This window comes from Homo sapiens, chromosome 3 (genome assembly GCF_000001405.40).
Source record: "Homo sapiens chromosome 3, GRCh38.p14 Primary Assembly".
Classification (NCBI taxonomy): domain Eukaryota; kingdom Metazoa; phylum Chordata; class Mammalia; order Primates; family Hominidae; genus Homo; species Homo sapiens.
The window spans coordinates 109,830,271-109,850,994 of record NC_000003.12 but is presented as its reverse complement, the minus strand read 5'-3'; the positions used below and the strand labels follow the sequence as shown (position 1 = coordinate 109,850,994).

The 20,724-nt window shown below is 36.1% G+C and overlaps 1 long non-coding RNA gene across 1 annotated transcript in view; it reads right to left on the bottom strand.

Annotated features, from left to right (window-relative positions):
• Positions 1–14,837: 14,837 nt before the first annotated feature.
• LOC124906267 (uncharacterized) overlaps positions 14,838–20,724 on the bottom strand; it is a 188,134-nt gene continuing 182,247 nt past the window's right edge. The window contains exon 3 of the long non-coding RNA XR_007096002.1: positions 14,838–14,902. This is a non-coding gene — a long non-coding RNA (uncharacterized LOC124906267). The remainder of the gene's footprint in view (positions 14,903–20,724) is intronic.

Here is a 20,724-nt window from a genome sequence, read left to right as displayed (position 1 = left end):
CATGTTTTTCCAGATTTTTCTGTTGTTATTTCTTTAAAGAAGCTTTCTACCCCTTTCTGTTCCTCTATTTCCTCTTACACACTAATGCCTCATCAGTTTTCTCTTTTGATGCCATCCCATAAATCTTTTAAGCTTTATTTCTTTTTTTCCCTCTGAGTCTATATTTTTAATTAACTGGTCTTTGATTTCATAGATTCTTCTATTTAATCAATTATGCTACTGATGCTCTCTATTGCATTTTTTGTTTTGTTCATTGTAATTTTCAGCTCCAGGATTTGTTGTCTTTTTTTTTTTTTTTCCTTTTTTTCCAATTCTCTGTTAAAATTTTCTGGTAAATTTCTGAGTTGTTCCTATGTATTTTCTTGAAGTTGCTGTTTCCTTAAAATACCTATTTTTAATGTTTTGTCAGGAAAATCTTCCACCTCCATCTCTTTAGTGTCAGTCATTGACATCTCAGTTCATTCATTTGGTCATATCATATTTCCCTGATTGATTTTCATATTTGTAGCTGTTTATTGATGTCTGCACATTTATGTAGGTATCTGTTCTAGTCTTCAGTCTTGCATTGTTTAGGAGCTTCCTTCAGCACTAAACTTGTCCAGAGATTTAGGGTACGTTGATTCGTGAGATCCCTAAATCCATTACTTATATTTTAATCTTGAGGCACTAGGGGGTACACTAAGCCCAGGACTGCCATGGCTGAAATTCTTTGGCCACAAAGGCTGAATACAGTGCAGGGTCACACCTAAAGCTCATTACTGCCAAGACCAGTGCAGCGCTGGGGCATGCCCAAGTCCTGCAGTTTCTATAGCTTACCCAACACTGAGGTTTATTTAACGCCCAAGGTTGCTATAGTTGACTAGTGGTGATATAGGCCAGATTTCAAGTTTGTCTTTCCAGGTTCCTGGGTTCCTGTCTGGCACTGAGCCCTGAGCTCCCATTTGGCACTGTAGCAGTTCTAAAGGCTCTGCTCAGAGGCGCAATCTGGTGTCAGGGTCCATGGGATTTTGCCTAGTACTGAGTTTTACTGTGGTGGGCCTAGTGGAGGTTCCAAGGCAAAGACTTATGCTTACTTCCTTCTCCTTTCCCCAAGTGGACAGTGTCTCTCTCAGCACTGCAATACCTAGGGTTGGAGGAGGAGTGATGTAGGCAATTCCATGGTCACAGAGACTGACACAGTCCTAGTTTGCCAAATCCTACTGCCACTGACACCAGTGCAGCCCTAGAGCATGCCCAAGGCCTGCAGCCTGCCTGCCACTTAATTCAGGGCCCAAGGCCACTGTATTCAGCTGATGATGATGCAGGTCGGATCTTGAGTATATCCCACTGGGACAACAGGTACCTGTCTCTTGCCAGGGTGGATCCATGAGTGTTAGCCTGATGTCTAGGACTAGAGGCTTTTGCCTAGTGCAGGGTTTCACTATGGCAGCCCCCCTACAGGGTTCCAAGGCAAAATCTTATGCTTATATTTTTTTCCTTCCCTCAAGCAAATGGTATCTCTCTCTGCTTTACTGCCTGGGATTCGGGGAGGGGTGATGTGGGAAATGTGAGGCTGTCCATTCTACTGCCTTCAATTAGTCTTTTCCTGTTATTATGATAAGACCAGGTAGTACTGTGATCTCTCTTCTGGTTTTCTTACATCTCATGAAGATTTGTTTGAGTGTGGATAGTTGTTTGAATTGATGTTTCTGTGGGAGAACAATCGATCAATCGCTGGAGAATCCTACTCTGCCATCTTACTCTGTCACTCTTTATACATATTTCAAAACGCCATATAAACACCATAAATACATACAATTTTTATTTGTTAATTAAAATTAATTAATTTTTTTAAAGGAAAAGATAAAAAAATTGACAAGTGGAAAGAAATTGTGTGAGTTAAACCAAAGTAATTCTGAGCATGTTATTATAGTAGTCTTTATATTTTATTACCCTTATAAAGGGTTGTTTAATTATAGCTCTCTCAAAACAGATTCAGCTTATCTGGAACCTCAGGCATCTAAATAAAGAGTGGATCATACTTACATGAGTGTCAATACATGCTATATCATGATTCTCAGAAAGAGGGAGAAGATGACCTTCCATTTAATTATGTAATGAGATTCATCACTAGAAAATTAATTGACATGTCTCCTGTGACACTGTCTAATCAATGTTGAAGACAGTTGACTATCATTTAATTTAACTCATTTAATATTATAAACACACTTCTCATTTTAAGCCTTTGTTGGCTTCTATCTATACAGTGCTCTATATTTTTTTCAAATATACTCATTCCATCTATATTCCTTTATTCTGCAGATGGCTATTGAATGCCTACTATATGCTAAGGATTATGCTAGACTCTGGAGAAAGAATGGTGCACAAAACAAGACATGATCTCTGATCTGCTTATAGCAATGGTTTCACTGCTAAGGTTCCACATTAAACTCACCTGAGGGAGATTTTAAAATTCACTGAGGCCCAGGCCCATCATCTAATTTTTACACATAAGCATGAATTAAACTAACTCATTCTGCTACTATGTTTCTAAGTGACATATACAACTTCACTGACATTCTTGATAAACTAAAAGATCTTGTGGTTTTCGCAAATAGTCTTCTCTTTGTTTTTGCCTGGTTTCATAGCAGAAATAGAAGAAGAAATTACCCAGCATGATGCAATTGATCTCTCTCAACCTCAGTTACCGTCTTTTATTCAGTAAATATAAATATCTCTCTACCACCAATTTTCTTCTTATTTTATTCCTACCAATGACAATACCCATATATTGGAAAAGTATTCCTTTTCTTGTTACTATAATTCTTTCTATTTAAAAAGCTTGACTACAGATACAGGCTGCTGATTTTTTGAAAATGCCATGATCTGTTTTCCAGTTTAATAACAACATTTAAAATACCTTAGAATCAAAACATAAGTTTCAAAACAATGGATAAATGACTGGTTTTTAAGACACAGCTGTAAAGACAGTTCTCTAAGGCAAATATTCTATTCTGGTTTATAGATTCTCCCAAATTCTACTTACAATAATGGTACATTATTTCATTGTATTTGTCTGGTTATCATGCCTTTTCATTGCAAGGTCAGTAGGTTTTTTAAGGTTGGTCTCCTCACTTCTATAGTCAAGCTCTCTAGAGCTGCTTTATAGCTCATTTTCTTCTTCTAGGTCAACAGGAGGATAATTTTATTTCCTCACTTTTCTGAATTTATCAAGGCCATGCAATCGTTTTGGCTAATTGTTTCATGCATTTCTTCTAGACCAAAACATTTTAACTTCTCGTGAAAATCTCTCCAGCATTTCATCTCTCTGGCTGTGCTATCTGAAAAATTTGGGAATCCTGTGTTCCAGATGCTGTCTCTACAGGAGAAACGGTAAATTCTTCAACAACCTGTGTCCCTGAGTGACTAGGTTAAACAGAAGTCCCTGCTGATCTGAATGGGATAGTTGTATGAATAAGAAGTAGTAATTTTTGAATTGTTTACTACAGCATAAGGCTACCCTAACCTGACTAATATCACCTTATTATCTTTAAATCAGAAGCAGTTTCAGTGATAAACCAGATTATTTATGACTTTATTCTTTTTTTCTCAGTGAGCAGTGGGTTTCATCAGCCTCTGTAAAACAGATCTAAAAAGATCAAAAGGTCAAACCTTGAGGTTGAATCTATAGACATAACAGCACATTGCTTTTATAAACTTTCTTCCAAAATATTATAAATGAGTACCATCAATGGGTATCAAGGTAATATATTATTATCTTGAAAAGCTCTTGTGAATTTTTTGTCCACTTATGTTTTCCAGCCCTGAATTTCTCTTAATTTTTTCTAAAGGCTCTGATTACTTTTCTTGTTTAGAACTAATTCATTACTGTTTGGAATTGTTTCTCTGGAATAATGCCCCAGACTCAAAAAAGATGCTATATGAGAAGAGTGAGACAGAATCAAAGATTAGCCAACCATAATTGTAAACTTTGTGGTTATTCAAACTATTTGTACTTTCAAAGAAAGTAAATTGGATTTACTTTTGCTGAGCCATTTCATTTACAGCTGTCATTCATCATGCTGAAAATGTTTTCTCTTTGTGTTCAAAGGGCATGAGGAATGCCAGTCTACCTCTTCAAAAAGTAATGAAACAGTCATGGAAGATGAAACAGAAACTACATGTCAATTAATCCAAGCATTGATTCCAAGCATCAATATAAATAATTGCAAAATTAATTTCATTGCATTTAACTTTCAACGAAGGCTTCTTTTTTTCAGAAAGAAAAAAAAAAAAACGCCTTTCTATTTCCATGCCCATTCTATGCCAAATGAACTATTACTCCGATTTATAATTAACTTGGGCTATAGTGGAAAAAAATTGCATCATTTCTGATTATGTCTATTAGGCAAATGGTTCTTATTGAGAACATATTGATATTTTGGGCAAAAATTTAATAGTAAATTCAGATTGACACAGAGATTGCCCGCCAAAAGATTGTTTTACCAAGAACAATACCTCTAAATATAACCAAATAGAAGTATCTTTGCTGGAGGAAGAGTGTATTAAATGGGCTCTCCTAGCTTACCCTATAACAACAAACTGTCCCCAAATCTCAATGACTTTCAACAACAAGTTTATATCTTGCTTATATTTATTTTTATTACTTGTCCACCTTGATTTGTTCTATTTGGGGTCCCGCACTATAGCAACAATCTCTGTCAGTGACATGTTATTGTTATGGCAGAGGGAAAAGAGCAGCGGTGGAATCAGGCGAGAGCCTGTAAATTTTCTTCTATAAGGTGAAACACATCACATTACTCACATTTCATTTACCAAAGCAAGACACAAAGTCTAGGCTCATGTCAACAGAGTGGGAGAGGCAGCAATTACTTTTAAAAAGTAATAAAATATACCCAAAGGTAACTTTTTCACTTAATACTTTTTCAATTGTTAAGGTTCAACTTAGAATGGTATGACTGATATGAAGCCTCCCTCAATTTGACTAGACCCAAAACTTATCTCTGTCAACCCTAAGTTCCCTGAGATATGTCAAGCTAATTTCCATCACCATGCATACCACTTACTAATGGTGAAGGTCTGCTAAAACTTCCCCTGTACCTTTTAGACCCCAGAGAGCTGAAAGCGTAGTGATGAAAATCTCAGGAAGTGGCATTTTGTTCGTCTCTTTTAAGCTATTTACTAAACCCAGCCAAGAACAGTGCTCTGTTTTCTCTTTTTAAGTCAAGGCAATCTTTTGGACCTAGTGCCCCAATTTGAAATACTGCACAGTGAGGAATAAATCCAAACTCAGACTCTTAATCACCTTATGACTATCAGATGTTTGTGATTTTGTTAACTTTATGTTTCTATTTGAGTACTAAGGCATCTCCAAACTAAAGTTAATGAAGATTAATATTATTTCAATACATTTATAATGTTTTTACACACTTGGTTTGAGTTCTAACTCTTAAGACTCACAAACCGTGTAGACATGAGCAAATCATGTACCTCCTAAGAAGTCGGAATACTAAAGCTCAGACCTTAGAGTCCTCTACTAACACCTTCATCTTAAAGACAAGAAAACTAAGTTATTGTGGTTAAGAATCTCATTTGATAAGAATTGGATGCAGACCACATACTGACTTCAATACTTCTATTTTTCCCCATCCTGGTTAAACACTTACCATGCAGCCACAGCTGAAACATTGGGTCTAGAGGAGCCTGACAGACCATAAACTAGACATCCAAATATGAACCTCTTCTATAGCTCACCACCTAACTTGTTTACACTACTCCTAAATCTTTGACTACATTAGGCTCTGTACACTATTACTTTAGAATTATGACATCCATGTGACAATTTCTGCCTTAGTTGACTTCTAAAAAATTCAACTCTTTCTTAGTTATCTTACAGCAGTAGCAGCAGTAGCAATGATGAAGGTGGTGGTGGTAGTAGCTGGAGTAATAATAAGAACAGTAAGAAACTCATTTCATCTTCTAATAGACCTATGGGGTACTATGACATGTAAATGAGAAAACTGATTCACTGAGAGGTAGTTTCTTGCTTAAAGTTGCACAGGTAGAAAATAACTCAGCTGGGATTTGAATTTAGAAGGTGTGTCCCCACAGCCCAGCCTCTAACCACTATGCTTTACCACTTCTTTCCTTCTATTCAGTCTGCTGATCTAAGTTCTTGTCTCTCTGCATTATGACAAGAACTTTCTTAAGCTTCTCTTTAAGAAAAATTGCATCACTAGAACAAATACGTGGAACCAATCATTTATTTCTCTTTATCTTCATATTATGACATTATTGAATTAAAAACCAATTAAAGAACAAAATAAACCTATAAATTTTGGGCCAAAACTATAAATATTATTTGAACAATATGTTGTTCCCTTTAATATAAATTACTATGTGATACCCTGTTGCGTGGACTCATAAATCCAGTTATTTTAATGAAAATATAATCTATTTTAAAGTGTCATATGTGATCATCTATTTACTAAAATACATACAAATGCAGTCTTCCTGAAAGCATCTAGACTTTATTACTGTAATGAATGTTAAATATGTTTTGTTTTAAGATAAACATACACAGCATATGAATTTTTTTTTTTTTAAGACAGAGTCTCATTCTGTCACCCAGGCTGGAGTGTGGTGGAATGAACTTGGCTCCACCTCTCAGGTTCAAGTGATTCTTGTGCCTCAGCCTCCTGAGTAGTTGGGACTACAGATGCGCATCACCATGCCTTGCTAATTTTTGTATTTTATTTGTTTTTGTTTTTTGTTTTTTTAGTAGAGATGAGACTTCACCATGTTGGCCAGGCTGGTCTTAAACTCCAGACCTCAACTGATCCTCCCGTCTCGGCCTCCCAAAGTGCTGAGATTACAGTCGTGATCCACCGTGCCTGGCCGGCATATGCATTTTTAAGATAAACATAGCCATATGAAAAGTTTAAAGAATTTATTCCAGCAGAAATTAATGAATTGGGGCAGTGCCAGACTCACAAACGGTTGGGCTCCACCTAAAGGAGTGTGGGAGGAAAGGGTTTTTTTTTAAACATGTTTAAGGAAGCAAGACAAAGAAAATATTTGACTGGTTAAAGTATCTAGTTCGAGTTTAGTTAGTGATTTCTGATTGGTTAAGCTTGTTTTATTTTACTATTTACATTGAATTGAGTTTTAATTTGCTTACCTCCTAAGTAAGCCCAAGGCAATAGAGCTGACTCAGCCTCCTAATATATTTTTTTATTTTTATAGATTTAGGAGGTACAAATGCAGTTTTGTCACATGGGTATATTGCATAATGGAGAAGTCTAGGCTTTTAGTGTAACCATCACCCAGCGTGTACCATTGAATAATTTCTCATCTCTAACCCCCCACCCACCTTCACACCCTTCCAAGTCTCCACTGTCTATTATTTCACTCTCTATGTCCATGTGAACAAATTATTTAGCTCCCACTTATAAGTAAGAACATGCGGTATTTAACTTACTGTTTCTGAATTATTTCACTTAAAATTTTTCAAACAACATATACAATCTTTCCTTCTTTTCCCTTAGTCCTAATGTACATTAGTAGCCATGATTACCGTTCATTACTCTTTCCTAGATTATATTCAAATATCTGAGCCAACAAAGAGATTTCTAGAAGATTTTCCTTCAGGAAATGTTGAGAGCAAGTTGAATATATTACATAAAATTCCTATGTGATCACGAAACCTCTTTATTAGCATCATTTAGAGGTTATTTTGGAATGGTGTAAATAAAGACAATGATTTTAGAATCATAGATAGTTTGAGGTGCTCTTTTTGTCAATAACTTATCATTTTAGCAAGGAAAAGTGACTCTTAAACCTTATTTTAAGGACATACTTGACAATCTTTCCAACTCAAATATTTCTGTAGGCCTTTCAACATGGTAACACTTCCATATTAGTAATAACAGGTGAAAATACTTTCAAATGTTTGGATTGATGGCAAATAAAGTTAATTCACATGCCTTCAAGATCCTACGTATTTAAATTTCTATTTTAACCAATAAGGACAAAACAACAATAAACCGAGAAAGCTGGTTTAAAAGGAAATGTTTTAAGAAATGTTATGGAGACTAAAATCCAAGTAATATCTCAAGTCAATTAATTTTTTCTGCTTTTTCTGTACAACCTAACTCACAGGACTTGAGTGATTTAAATTGAGATGCCTCCAAAGTACTTAGCAAATCTGTGTTCTGCTTGTTAATCTTGTGGATTCTTGGGGGTTAGATATTACATCCTCTCATCTTAGAACTCCCAGTACTCAGAGTAATGCATTTGTTCAACAACTATCTGCTAAATTAGTGAACAAATTAATAAATAAAAAGGTATGAATAAAAAATAGTAAAGTTTTGGAAACTTTAATACCCTCCTAAAAAGTCATTTACTTTAAGACTCGTTAAATTTGTATGCTGCAAGAAATATCCTGAAGTTACTTAGTTCATCTCCTAAAAAAAAAAAAAATTGTAAGAAATATATAGAACTTTCTGAGTACAAAGGAGTGTTGGAGATTACCTGAGGTTGAGTTCAATCAGTGGGAAACCCACTGCAATTGATGGAACTACTCCAAATCCAAATCCTACAGATACTGAATTTTTTTAAAATTATAATCTCATGCTCAAAAAAGACAAAAGAAGCTCTGTAAGTGATCTAGTATGACTTTTTCTTAATACAGTGCTCCTATGAATATTTCCTTGTTGGGACCTAAGGTATATTAGAGCAGGCAATCACCTCTTTCTTGTGAGGGTTGGGAAATCCCATGGTGCTTCAAAGAAGCAAGTAAAAATCAGTGAGTTGGAGAGGCTGTGAGCAAAGTTAAAGATGTCACAGTGCTGATTTAGAGCAGGGCTCATTCTGCAGTTTGACCCTCTGTCCATCTGATCTTGGTTCAGTGTTGCCTCAGATTCCAGATAATTCTCCCCTAGTAAGCAATTGTATGACTGAAGATGACCAGCAAGTCCCTTCCAGAGTTTCTGCCTTAATGCCCCACTCCAATTCCCTTCTCCTTCTCACCTGACATTTTCCTTCAGTTTGTCCAGTTTCTATGACTGATCAACTCTATTCTGGCCTCTACATATGCAAACTAACCTCACACCCTTCCTTATACTCACTCCCAAGACACACACACACACACACACACACACACATGCACACCCAGGTACATACACTTCTTGCCAGGTAAAAACAATCGATACACACATTTCCCATACATAAGATTGAGTCTATTTCTCCCACTAAATACACAGCACACATGCTGGGACAGCTTCATTCTGACATATTTATTCCCCTTTCAAGTTGAGCAGGGTTGGACTAATTTCTTTTTTACTGTCACATTTTATATTGAAATAAAGCGTCTTTGACAATAATCTGCTACCTGGGGTTTTTCTAAAGCCTATCCCCTGGCAAATACATGTTTTTAATTTATTTCATCTACAAAGAACCATTATGTACTTTATCTTCCATGTTTGTTAAGGTGTTGCATCTACAGACACTAAAAATAAAAGAGGACAAAAATCTGGGAGTAGAAAGAGATAAAATAATTTTGTTAACCCAGTTATAGAAATTTCATGAGTTTCAGAATTTTACACATGACCTTAAGTGTGTTTTATTTTATTTTTAAAAGTCTTTAACTCTTTAATGTAACAGAGATGCAGAGCCATGATTTAATTTTCCACTTTGTTAATGATTCATAAACACCTCACTGATATTGTTTAGTTTTATTTTCTAAAAATAAAAAGTAACTAATTTGACAACAAATAATTTTTTCCTTATCTAGTTTTTTTTTTAACGTGAACAAACTGTATCTGCAGATGCAATTTTGTTTAATTATTTTTCTGTGACATTTATCTGTAAACATAACAGTGCTTTCTAAATTCATCAGAACATGACATAGGAATTTCAGAAATATTAGCATGTAGTTGTCACTGTGCTGCTGCTTATTGCTGCAACAAGAAGAGCTGCCCAAATCTTTCTAGCTTATCACAGCAGAAATACAGAAAGCTTTCTACATGGTAATTTAGGTATGGTTTGGGCATTTCTAACCCAAAAATCCAAAATTCAAAATGCTCCAAACTCCAAAACTTTTAGAGCACCTACCTGATGCCATGACATTTAAAATGGAAAATTCTACACCTGACCTCATGTGACAGGTCACAGACAAACCTTTGTTTCATGCACACAATTATTTAAGATGTTGTATGAAATTATGCTCAGACTATATATATAGGGTGTATATATAACATACATAAATTTAATGTTTAGGCTTGGTCCCATTCCCAGGATATCTCATTATGTATAGGCAAATATTCCAAAATCCAAACAAATCCAAAATCCAAAACACTTTTGTTCCCAAGCATTTTGGATAAGGGATACCACATTTGTATCAGACTTCTACTTTCTGATGGCTCTATCCTCTTCCAGGGTGTTTTAGTTCATTTGTGTTACTACAGAGGAATACCTGAGACTGGATAATTTATAAAGGAAAGAGGTTTACTTGGCTCACAGTTCTGCAGGTTGTACAGGAAGCATGGCATCAGCACCTGCTTTTGGTGAAGGCCTCAAGATGCTTCCACTATGGTGGAAGGTAAAGAGGAGCCAACATGTGCAGAGATCACATGTTGACAGAAGAAGTAAGAGACAGTGGGGCAAAGGTGCAGGGGGAATGGAGATGCCAGACTCCTTTTAACAATCAGATTACTCAGGAACTAATAGAGCAAAAACTCACTCACTCCTTGCCCACCCTCAGGGAGAGTAATAGTCTATGCAAGAGGCATCCACCCTCATGACCCAAACACCTCCCATTAGGCTCTATCTCTAACCTTGAAGGTCAAATTTCAACAAGAGGTTTACAAGAGACAAACATCTAAACTTTCACACAGGGTCTCCTCTGCATTCAAAAGGGGAGTTCACAGACTCCAAAGCAAACAGCAACGTAAATGAGTAAAACAAGTAGGGTATAATACTATAGGGAGTAATGGAAACTGTAGAGAACTTCAAAGAATGCTCTCTGAAGATGGTTCCCATGCAGAAAAGCATGCATATTATTGGCAGGACTTTGCAAGAGAAAAAAAATCCGTATTTTTAAAATGCAAAAATCCCAAGAGTTTTAAATGTAAGCAACTAAGTAAAAAAAAAAAAAATACTGTGTATGCTGCTTTAAAATATTTCTGTGAATGATTTGGCTCAAAGAAGATGCACCTCCAACCTCTGGTGTATATGGTACCTTCCTTCTGATAAATTCATCCTTCAATAAAAAGGCAGAATGGCTATTGTCCTCACAAGATGAATGTTCTCCAAATTTTTTTGATTGTGCAGGAAAAAAAAATGTGGAAAAGTATTCCTAGTGCATGTGTGTGTGTCTGTGTGTGTGCACATGTTATACATACATTATACACTATATCTACCTAGGGACAAGATGTCTTGCTAATATCTCAAGAATTACTAATATTTCAAGGCACAAGACACATCTAGGGTGAGTTTCATTATTAATGATGTAGATGTGAATCCACACTTCAAATAATCTTTATAGCTTCATTTTTAAAGGAGCTTCATGACAGATGTGATGGGGTAATTGTTCTACCTCTTAATGTGGTTGATGAAGAGGACATTGGAATGGGGGAAACATTGTTTTCTCTATTTTATCTTTACTTCTGCTTATCTTCAATGCAAATTTATTCACAGGGATTATTTTTAGCTCTTTTTTAATGTTATTAACATATTAAATATTAGTAAAGCCTTATGTCTTTCCATTTATTAGACTAAAAAATACTAATAGAAGCTCTTGAATTCTATCTCTGTCCTGATTGCTTTGAACATCGCTTTTTATGCACACACCATATTTTTCCCACAATAGTACCCTCTCTTTTACTAGGTAACATCTGGAATATAATAGTTCACATTTGCACACAGTTCTGTTTAGGCCTATATGGTACCTATTAAGTATTATCTCACCTTGAAAGATTACATTTTCATTTGGTTTATGGTTCTTCAATAAGCATTTACTTATTTAAAAAGCAGAGAAAGACTATTAGTGTTTTAAAAATTTGAGGGGATTTTTATTAGTTAATCATGTTACCAAGAGTATTTTCTTGTTAATTACAATAGCAAAACACTAATTTATGTAAAATGAAATTTATTGCCTTTTAGTTGGGCTGAATGAAAATGGAAGAAAGAAAGTAAAAATTAGAGCTAGGTTCTCAGGCAATTTTGGTATAAAATGTGTAAAAGATGGAGAGAATAATTCTTCTCTTGGTTCCATGAGAGTTATGATTGTGACTTCTCATACATAAAAATGAGCATATGCCCTGAAGTATGTTGTTAACTAAATAACTACTTATATTTAAAGTTCACAATTCATTGGTAGTCAATCTAATTAGGCAAAAGAAAAGCTTTCTTTTCTGTACTACAGAGAAAAGAGATATTTCATAGTATCATCCTTATGAGAAGGTGAATGAAAAAATGCAAATTATGAAATTGCTTATCCCCTTATACTGCTCCTTCTACAAGCTATTTCTTTCCTACTGGTGATTTTCTTTGATATCAGATATTACTTGATATTTCCTAGATGAATACTGATTGTAATTAGATTTTTGGCTTATTAAATTCTGGGACTTAATTTCACATATGACCAAGGAAGAGAAGTCCATCAAATAAATTATAAGCCAAACTCTTAATGGTAGGGAGGATATTACAAATATTATAATGTTTATTTGATATTATGTCATATAAGTTAAAAGCCAAACACTTAACAGTAGAAATGACTCTTTTTTTTTACTTCACATATTTCTGTGTTGTTTGAATACTTTCACATTTTTGAAGGAAAAATACATAACAATATTAAGCAAAAATGAATTTATCTATATATCTGTCTCTTTCTTTGTAACAGGCAATTCTCTGAGCACTTTACATATTTTCTTCTAATCCTGTGGGATCTTGAGCAAGTTACTTAATGCCTACAGGTAATATGCTTAAAGTAATAGAAATATCAGTTTTTATTATCTGTCCCATGAAGTGGTTGTGGTTGTCAAGTTTAAGTGAGAGTGCATGTATATACGTAGTGTGTGTGTATTTAATAATAGACATATATTATATATATATGAATATTGATGTATTATATATGAATATTGCATTTAGAACAATGCCTGACATTCTATGCGTCAAATAAGTGTTGGTTAGCAATTACCCAGTAGAGTGTGAGCTTCGTGAGGACAAGTGTTATTGCCCCTTTTTTTTAATTCTATATCCCCAATACCTGGTATTAAATAGTTCATAACATGTGTTCAAAGAATAAATGAATGGTTTTCTGAGTTAGATGTACTGTGATCACCAATTTACTACTAACATAACTGAGACAGAGAAATTAACTAACATGGCCTAGATTTCACAGCCAAAATCACATGGTTAGTAAATGATAAAACAATGGTTTTTAACCCAGCTGACTTGACTCCAAGGGCTTTCACACTTACCCCTCTGCTCTACTGTTATCCCTTTTAGAACTAACAAACTAAAGAAAATAGAAGGAGAATTGCTCCTTAAAAAAAAACCAATATGTGGCCAGATGTGGTGGCTCACGACTGTAATCCTAGCCCTTTGGGAGGCCGAGACAGGCAGCTCTCTTGATCCCAGGAGTTCAAGACCAGCCTGGGCAACGTGGTGAAACCCCATTTCTACAAAACATACAAAAATTAGCCAGTTTGGTGTTGCATGCCTGTAGTCCCAGCTACTCGGGGGGCTGAGGTGGGAGGATCACCTGAGCCCTGAGAGGTCAAGGCTGCAGTGAGCCAAGCCTGCACCATGGCACTCCAGCTTGAGTGACACAGTGAGACCCTGTCTCAAAAAAAAAAAAAAAGTAAATAAAATAATTAAAAAGCAAGATATGATACTCTTCTAGTCCTTGAAGAACTACCGGAGCTATCATATACTGATAAAATGCAGAAACAGTTTTCTGGAGTTGAACGTAGGAAAGGGAACCCTTAAGCAGGCATAGTCTGCCTAAGAAGCTAGAGAAATATACACCACAATTTTAGGACTAACTATTTCATTAAAAAATAGTTAAGTTTTAAATCCAGTAACAAGAGTTAATCTCAACCAACCACTTATGCCCAGAAGGCTGAGATTTTACCCCCATCTGAAGGTTTTATGGTAGAAGGTATTTTAATTGTTTCCTCCAGAGATTTTCAACAACTTTTTTCTCTGCTGGTTGTGATGCCGTTCCCAAATGAAATCATGTACTGAAATCACTTTGTAAACAATAAAAATCAAAATTCAAAAGTAATATATCAAAAAGGTCATGAAAGAAGCTGTTTCTCCACGATTTTCCTGAGCAGAATCCTGGATCCTTTATTGAAATTCATTCATTCATTTCAAAGCAAAATCACTACCCTGACTGACTTCACTGTAATGAATTAGAATGGTATATGCATATTAAAGGCATATCCAATTATATGATTTTTATTCCAAAGGTCAAATATTAATTTAGTAAAAATCAATTATTTGTGGAAAAAAATATAGTACCAAGAGAGCAATAATGCTATTTAAATAGATGGGAGAGTACCTAAGAGAAAAATAGAAAGAAAAGAAAGATCAAAAACAGATACTGCTCAACTTATGATGAAGTCACTTCTCAAGAAACCCATCATTAAGTTGAAAATGTCTTAAGCTGAAAATGCATTCAATACACCTAACCTACCAAACATCATAACTTAGCCTAGCCTACCTTAAACATACTCAGAATACTCACATTAGCCTACAGTTTGGCAAAGTCATTTGGCAACAGTACACTACGGAGTACATGTTGGTTACCTTTGTGATCCTGTGGCTGACTGTGAGCTGAGGCTCCTGCTGCTGCCCAGCATAGTGAGAGAGTATCTTACCACATGTTGCTAGCCTGAGAAAAGATCAAAATTTAAAATCTGAAGTATGGTTTCTACTGAATGTGTATCATTTTTCCACCATTATAAAACTGAAAAATTGCAAATCAACCCATCATAAGTCAGGGACCATCTGTATTAGATACTAAATATCAAATCAATTTTTAGAAAGAGCTTTAGAAAATCCGAAACTCTAAAAATGTGATACTGATGTGCTTATTCTGTTCAGTTCAAAAAAGTTCTCTTTTGGTGGCTTTTGCTCTGACTCTTAGAGATAGATTCAGTGAGGTTAATACTTGTAGTCTCTGAATTCAGTTTTTTTCCTTCTGTTATTAATCATCTACTGAGAAATTTTAGATATAAAAATTCACATGTTACTTCTTCTTAAAGAAATGGTCCCTTTATTTTTAAGATTTATACATTTTCTTTATTTCTTTCTTTCTCCATTTTACTGTTGCCTTTGCTTTGGACAAGGAGATAAAACAGACTCTGTGTCATAATATTTGTTAGAGTTCTTGGTTATAAGCAACAGAAACTGACTCTGATTAACCTAAGCACACAAAGAATATACTGGAAGGCTATGAACTCAGTTGAATCAACAATAGGCTGAGAGCTAGTATTGGATAACAATCAGGAATCAAAAGATCCTTAGGAGTTAGGGCAGCAAATATAAACCAGTAGCAGCGTCTGATTTGAACCCCACTGTGAGCAATAAGTCCCCAGTTGTTTGCTGGCTTCACTCTCAAAAGTCAAAGTCTTACAAAGAAGCATTCAATTTGCTAAACCCAAGTATGTTCCTAGTTCCTCTTTCTCCATCCATACAAGGACAAGGAATGGAAGGACTGGTATCTTTCTCCAAGACTATATACAAATGAAAGAGTACTCCAGGGTGAGCTCAGGATGCTTTTAGTAATATGGAATTCAATACTATTCAGTCAAAAAATTACAAATGCCCAATACATATACTTAAGTAAGGACAGAAGTTAGTTGAGCCTTAGGCAGAACTAATCAAAGGATATTTTGTATTATAGTGTAATGAGCACTCATATGTTTTGAGCAAATTGTTTAGGGCCAAATCCTGGTTTCTTCATATCCCAGATATGAGACCTTGTATGAGGAACTTAACCTCTCTAAGCCTGTTTCTTCATCTATAAATACTCTCAACATCGGGATTGTTCTGAGGTTTAGTCACTTGGCATGCAATAGAGACTCAACAAATGATAGCCATCTTCAGAGATGACAGGAATCCCTCTCTCATCATCCACTCTCAGGGCCATGTCTACATCCCCTGTAATTAGCCCCTCTGGACTAATATCCTGATGACACTCTGCACTCTTTAGCCATGAAAACCCTGCAGCTTCCCCAACTTACTTGAAAATATCGCAAACTGTCCTTTATTCAGCCAATTTTCTTCTCTCAACCATTTCTGAGAAATTCATATTATTCATCTCTTTCGCATTTAGTATAATCCAGGATGATTATCCCAGATTTCCTTTTTGCTATAACCACCTGAATTTGTTATTTGAACAATAATTGTCTTGAGACAAGTGAGAATTTGCTACTTTATTAATTCTTATCACCCTCACATTGTAAATATACATTTTTTCATTAATTTTATCTTGGCCAGTGCATGGCTAGATTCTTATGAGGAAAATGGACTTACAAAAAATAGGACTGTAGTTGCTGGAGAAATGGCATACAGTCTGAATCCTCAGGTGGACAACATTGAGTATGCAACTTGACAATGGTAACTTGAGTATCAAAGGAAAAGTAAATCCAACCACGGGTTTCAAAGGACTGTGATTCTGATTAGCTCAGCTGTCATTAGGTTAGTTAGCTCTCTAATTGGTGAATGTGTCCACATGCATTTTTCTTAAGAGCCACTGGCTGTCTCACCCCATTGGCTGAACAGATGGGCCTCCCCAAGTGCTGAGAACCCCAGCTCTGCTTCCAGCTTCTCTCACCCCAGAAGCTGTGGCTGATGCTTAACAAAAAAATCTGTTCTTGTTATATTTAGTACATAAACTAGCTAATGAGCTTATACTAAAAAACAAATGTTGGGAGGCCTAGGAGGGTGGATCACAAGGTCAGGAGTTCGAGACCAGCCTGGCCAACATAGTAAAACCCCGTCTCTACTAAAAATACAAAAATTAGCTGGGCATGGTGGTGGGTGCCTGTAATCCCAGCTACTCGGGAGGCTGAGGCAGGAGAATCGTTTGAACCCGGGAGGCGGAGGTTGCATTGAGCCGAGATCGCACCATTGCACTCCAGCCTGGGCAACAGAGAGAAACTGTGTCTCAAAAAATAAAATAAAATAAAATAAATAAAATAAAATAAAATAAAATAAAATTGAAAATGTATGCATTGTGGAGCTATACGAGATTAAACCAAAAAAAATCCATTTATCTCATGCATTATTATCTCAATTATAGTTAATTAGCAGAGAAATAGACTTATATAAAGTCATGTTATCATTAATGGAAGGTGATAATTACAGTTTACAAGGGTGTCAGTATAATCTTTTGTAATCCTTATGATCCTTTGAATAGAAGTCAATTATCTTCAGTTTGCACCAACATTAAGCAGGTTAATGCCGGCAATCTTATATTTTAATTTATAACATTAAAGGTAACATTTGTTTTACAACTACTTATCAGATTAAACTGGGCAGCAAATCTTTTACATTCATTTGGAGAATTGTTTTGTGTGTTAATATGCTAACTTGTGCTACATGTAAATATCACTCAATTTACAAAGCAAGCAACAGACTGCACTGATTTGTTTACAGTGTCATTATATTATTTATTTATGAAAAGTTTGGTTAAATATAAATGGCATTTTGGTGTGTATGTGATGTTATATATTACTCTGCTATTTTACATTTTAAAAAAGTTAGACTTAGGCAGATGCTAATACTAGTTTTATATTTTGTGTAATAAGTTAGTAGGTAAAAGAGGAAATAATATTACTTTAAAAAGGTAAATGCTAATTGTTGAAATCACAGAGTACTGGTTTTCACTTTATTTTGAAAACTTTTTTGTAATGGATTCACCATTAGACTGTAAATTGTAAGAACATGAAGACCATGTCTCTTATCTGTTATATATAATATTCCTGAAAATTTGCACAATGCCTATGACATAGAAATTGCTTATTTATTTATTTAGTGTTGAATGAACACTAAATAAATCTGTGGAATCACTGTGGCACTCATATGTCATCCTCTAAGTCCCCACCATCACTCCACTCTATCAAATCTTTTATTCTCAGACTTTTTGTGTGCTGTGATAGATACAATGGCAATTATAAAACAAAGTCTCTTCTCTCATGCAGCATACAATCTAATTTAGAGAGAACATTATTATTATTTTGGAAACACTTTTGTATTCCATTAAGGGGTACCTATTGATACTAAGAAGGAAAAGATCAGTGCCCAAACATTGAAAACCTTAAATAGTTAACAATATTTTCGAGATTCAAAGTACAGCCTGACTTCATTCAGATGGTTAATTTGGTGATGAGTGTGGATACAGTGTAAGTAATAGTCCCACGGAGAAAATAAACTCTGTATATGTGGTTCTATCTGTGAGTAACTGTGTTTATTTGTGAGTGTCTGTGTGTGTCTCCATGTGTCTTTTTCTGAGTACCTGTCTGAGACTCCTTACGTGTATTTCTCTAGTGTTGTGGATCGAGTGAGAGGCACAGAACGTAGCAACTCCTCTTCAAGTTAGGACAGCACTCATCCTTTGAGTATGACTACCCTCTTGCCTAATCTAACATAGCCTGCTGCTTTCAACTTCTTTCCTTCAGGCCTTATATTAATTGGAAGTTTTCAGGTTGTTGAAAACTATGTACGGTTTATTCACCAGACAAGATATACCTTGACCACCACCTACTGAAACTGGCCAGGCTTCTCTGATGTTTTCTGAAAACAGGTGATACCTCAGCCTTTCCACACTAATTGCCAGGTGGCTGAACGATGTCTAGCCTTGGTGGTCCTAAATATTAGGTTCAGGTTGGTATAAAGGGAATAGAGTGAGTAGATTGACATTTCCTCTATTTTTTTTTTAGTTTAAACCAACGATCAAGACACAGACTCCAAATCATGATAAATCCCAGAACATCTTTGGAAAAAAAACAGAAGAAAAAGTAATTATTGATTAGAAAAATATACACTATTTCAAATTGTTAGAAATTTGTGGGATGCTAATTAATTACCTGGCGTCCCTTGTGGGATCCCAAGAATTGGAAAAATAAAGCCCAAAAGGCTGGTGCAAATCAAAATATAGCCTTGCTAATGAAAAAGCAGATTTGGAGAGCATAGCTCACACTGAAGGCTGAAATGGACCTAGCTTTACGTTCCCCTCTTAATTAAAGACATGCAGATTCAGAGTAAGCAACGTGACTCACCTCGGCCTTTTTCAGGTGAGACCTTCATCTGACAGAGCAAGGACCTATTGCAGCAAAACTTTGCCTGCACCGATTTGTGCCTGGTCGCAGGCAGGTCCGAGAGGGAGGATTTAAATGACAAAGAGGTGGACACAGGTGGTTTGAGTGTCAATGCGCAGTCTCTCTGTGGTTAAAGTGTCAACTGTTAGCCAGGTTTTCTTCATCCTCACCTAATAGACTAGTCACTCTGCCCTTTGTTTACCCTCAACCGCACCGGTTTTCAACAAGGAGTATTTTTGCTCCCCCAGTTGGGGAGATTTCACAATATCTGGCGATCATTTGTTTGTCACAATTCTGGGGGTGGGTGCTACTGAATCCAGTGTGTAGAAGCCAAGAATGCTGCTAAACATCCCACAATAAAGAATTATCCAGCCTAAAATTTCAATAGTATCAGGGCTGGGACTCTTCTTTATAGAAATGAGAGGATTAGGGAGATAGGTGCTTCCACCTTACATGGACTGATAATAAATTGATACAATCCATATTATGATGAAACATTGTCATAGTTACAAAAAGTATGAATTTGGAGCTATTTCCAAGGTGGTGATTTTGCTACAATATTTGAGTTCTAGAGCGTGTAGAGCAATTGGTGCAAGGGTCACTTCAGCAGCAACAGGGATGACGAAAGACCAGGCTTAGACCCTGACCATTGCTACATTTTTCGAGTTTCCCCTTTACTCCCAAATAGGAATCCTCATTTGAAAAACTGATAGTGGCCGGGCGCAGTGGCTCACGCCTGTAATCCCAGCACTTTGGGAGGCCGAGTGGGGCGGATCACGAGGTCAGGAGATCGAGACCATACTGGCTAACACGGTGAAACCCCGTCTCTACTGAAAATACAAAAAATTAGCCAGGCGTGGTAGCGGGCGCCTGTAGTCCCAACTACTCGGGAGGCTGAGGCGGGAGAATGGCGTGAACCCGGGAGGCGGAGCTTGCAGTGAGCCGAGATGGCGCCACTGCACTCCAGCCCGGGGGACAGAGGGAGACTCTGTCTCAAAAAAAAAAAAGAAAGAAAGAAAGAAAGAAAAACTGATGGTAACAGTGTCCTATCAAAATAAGTAAGGAGAGGGTAAAGTAACAGAAACTCTCTTCCATTTTTATGGAAGCATAAAATTGTATAACCACTTTTAAAAAATAGAGAAAATAGTTTGACACTTTCTTTTGAGACAGAGTCTTGCTCTGTCGCCCAGGCTGGAGTGCAGTGGCACAATCTCGGCTCACTGCAAGCTCCACCTCCCAAGTTTATGCCATTCTCCTGCCTCAGCCTCCCAAGTAGCTGGGACTAAAGGCACCCGCCACCACACCCAGCTAATTTTTTTTTTTTTTTTTTTTTTTTTTTGGGATTTTTACTAGAGATCGGGTTTCACCGTGTTAGCCAGTATGGTCTGGA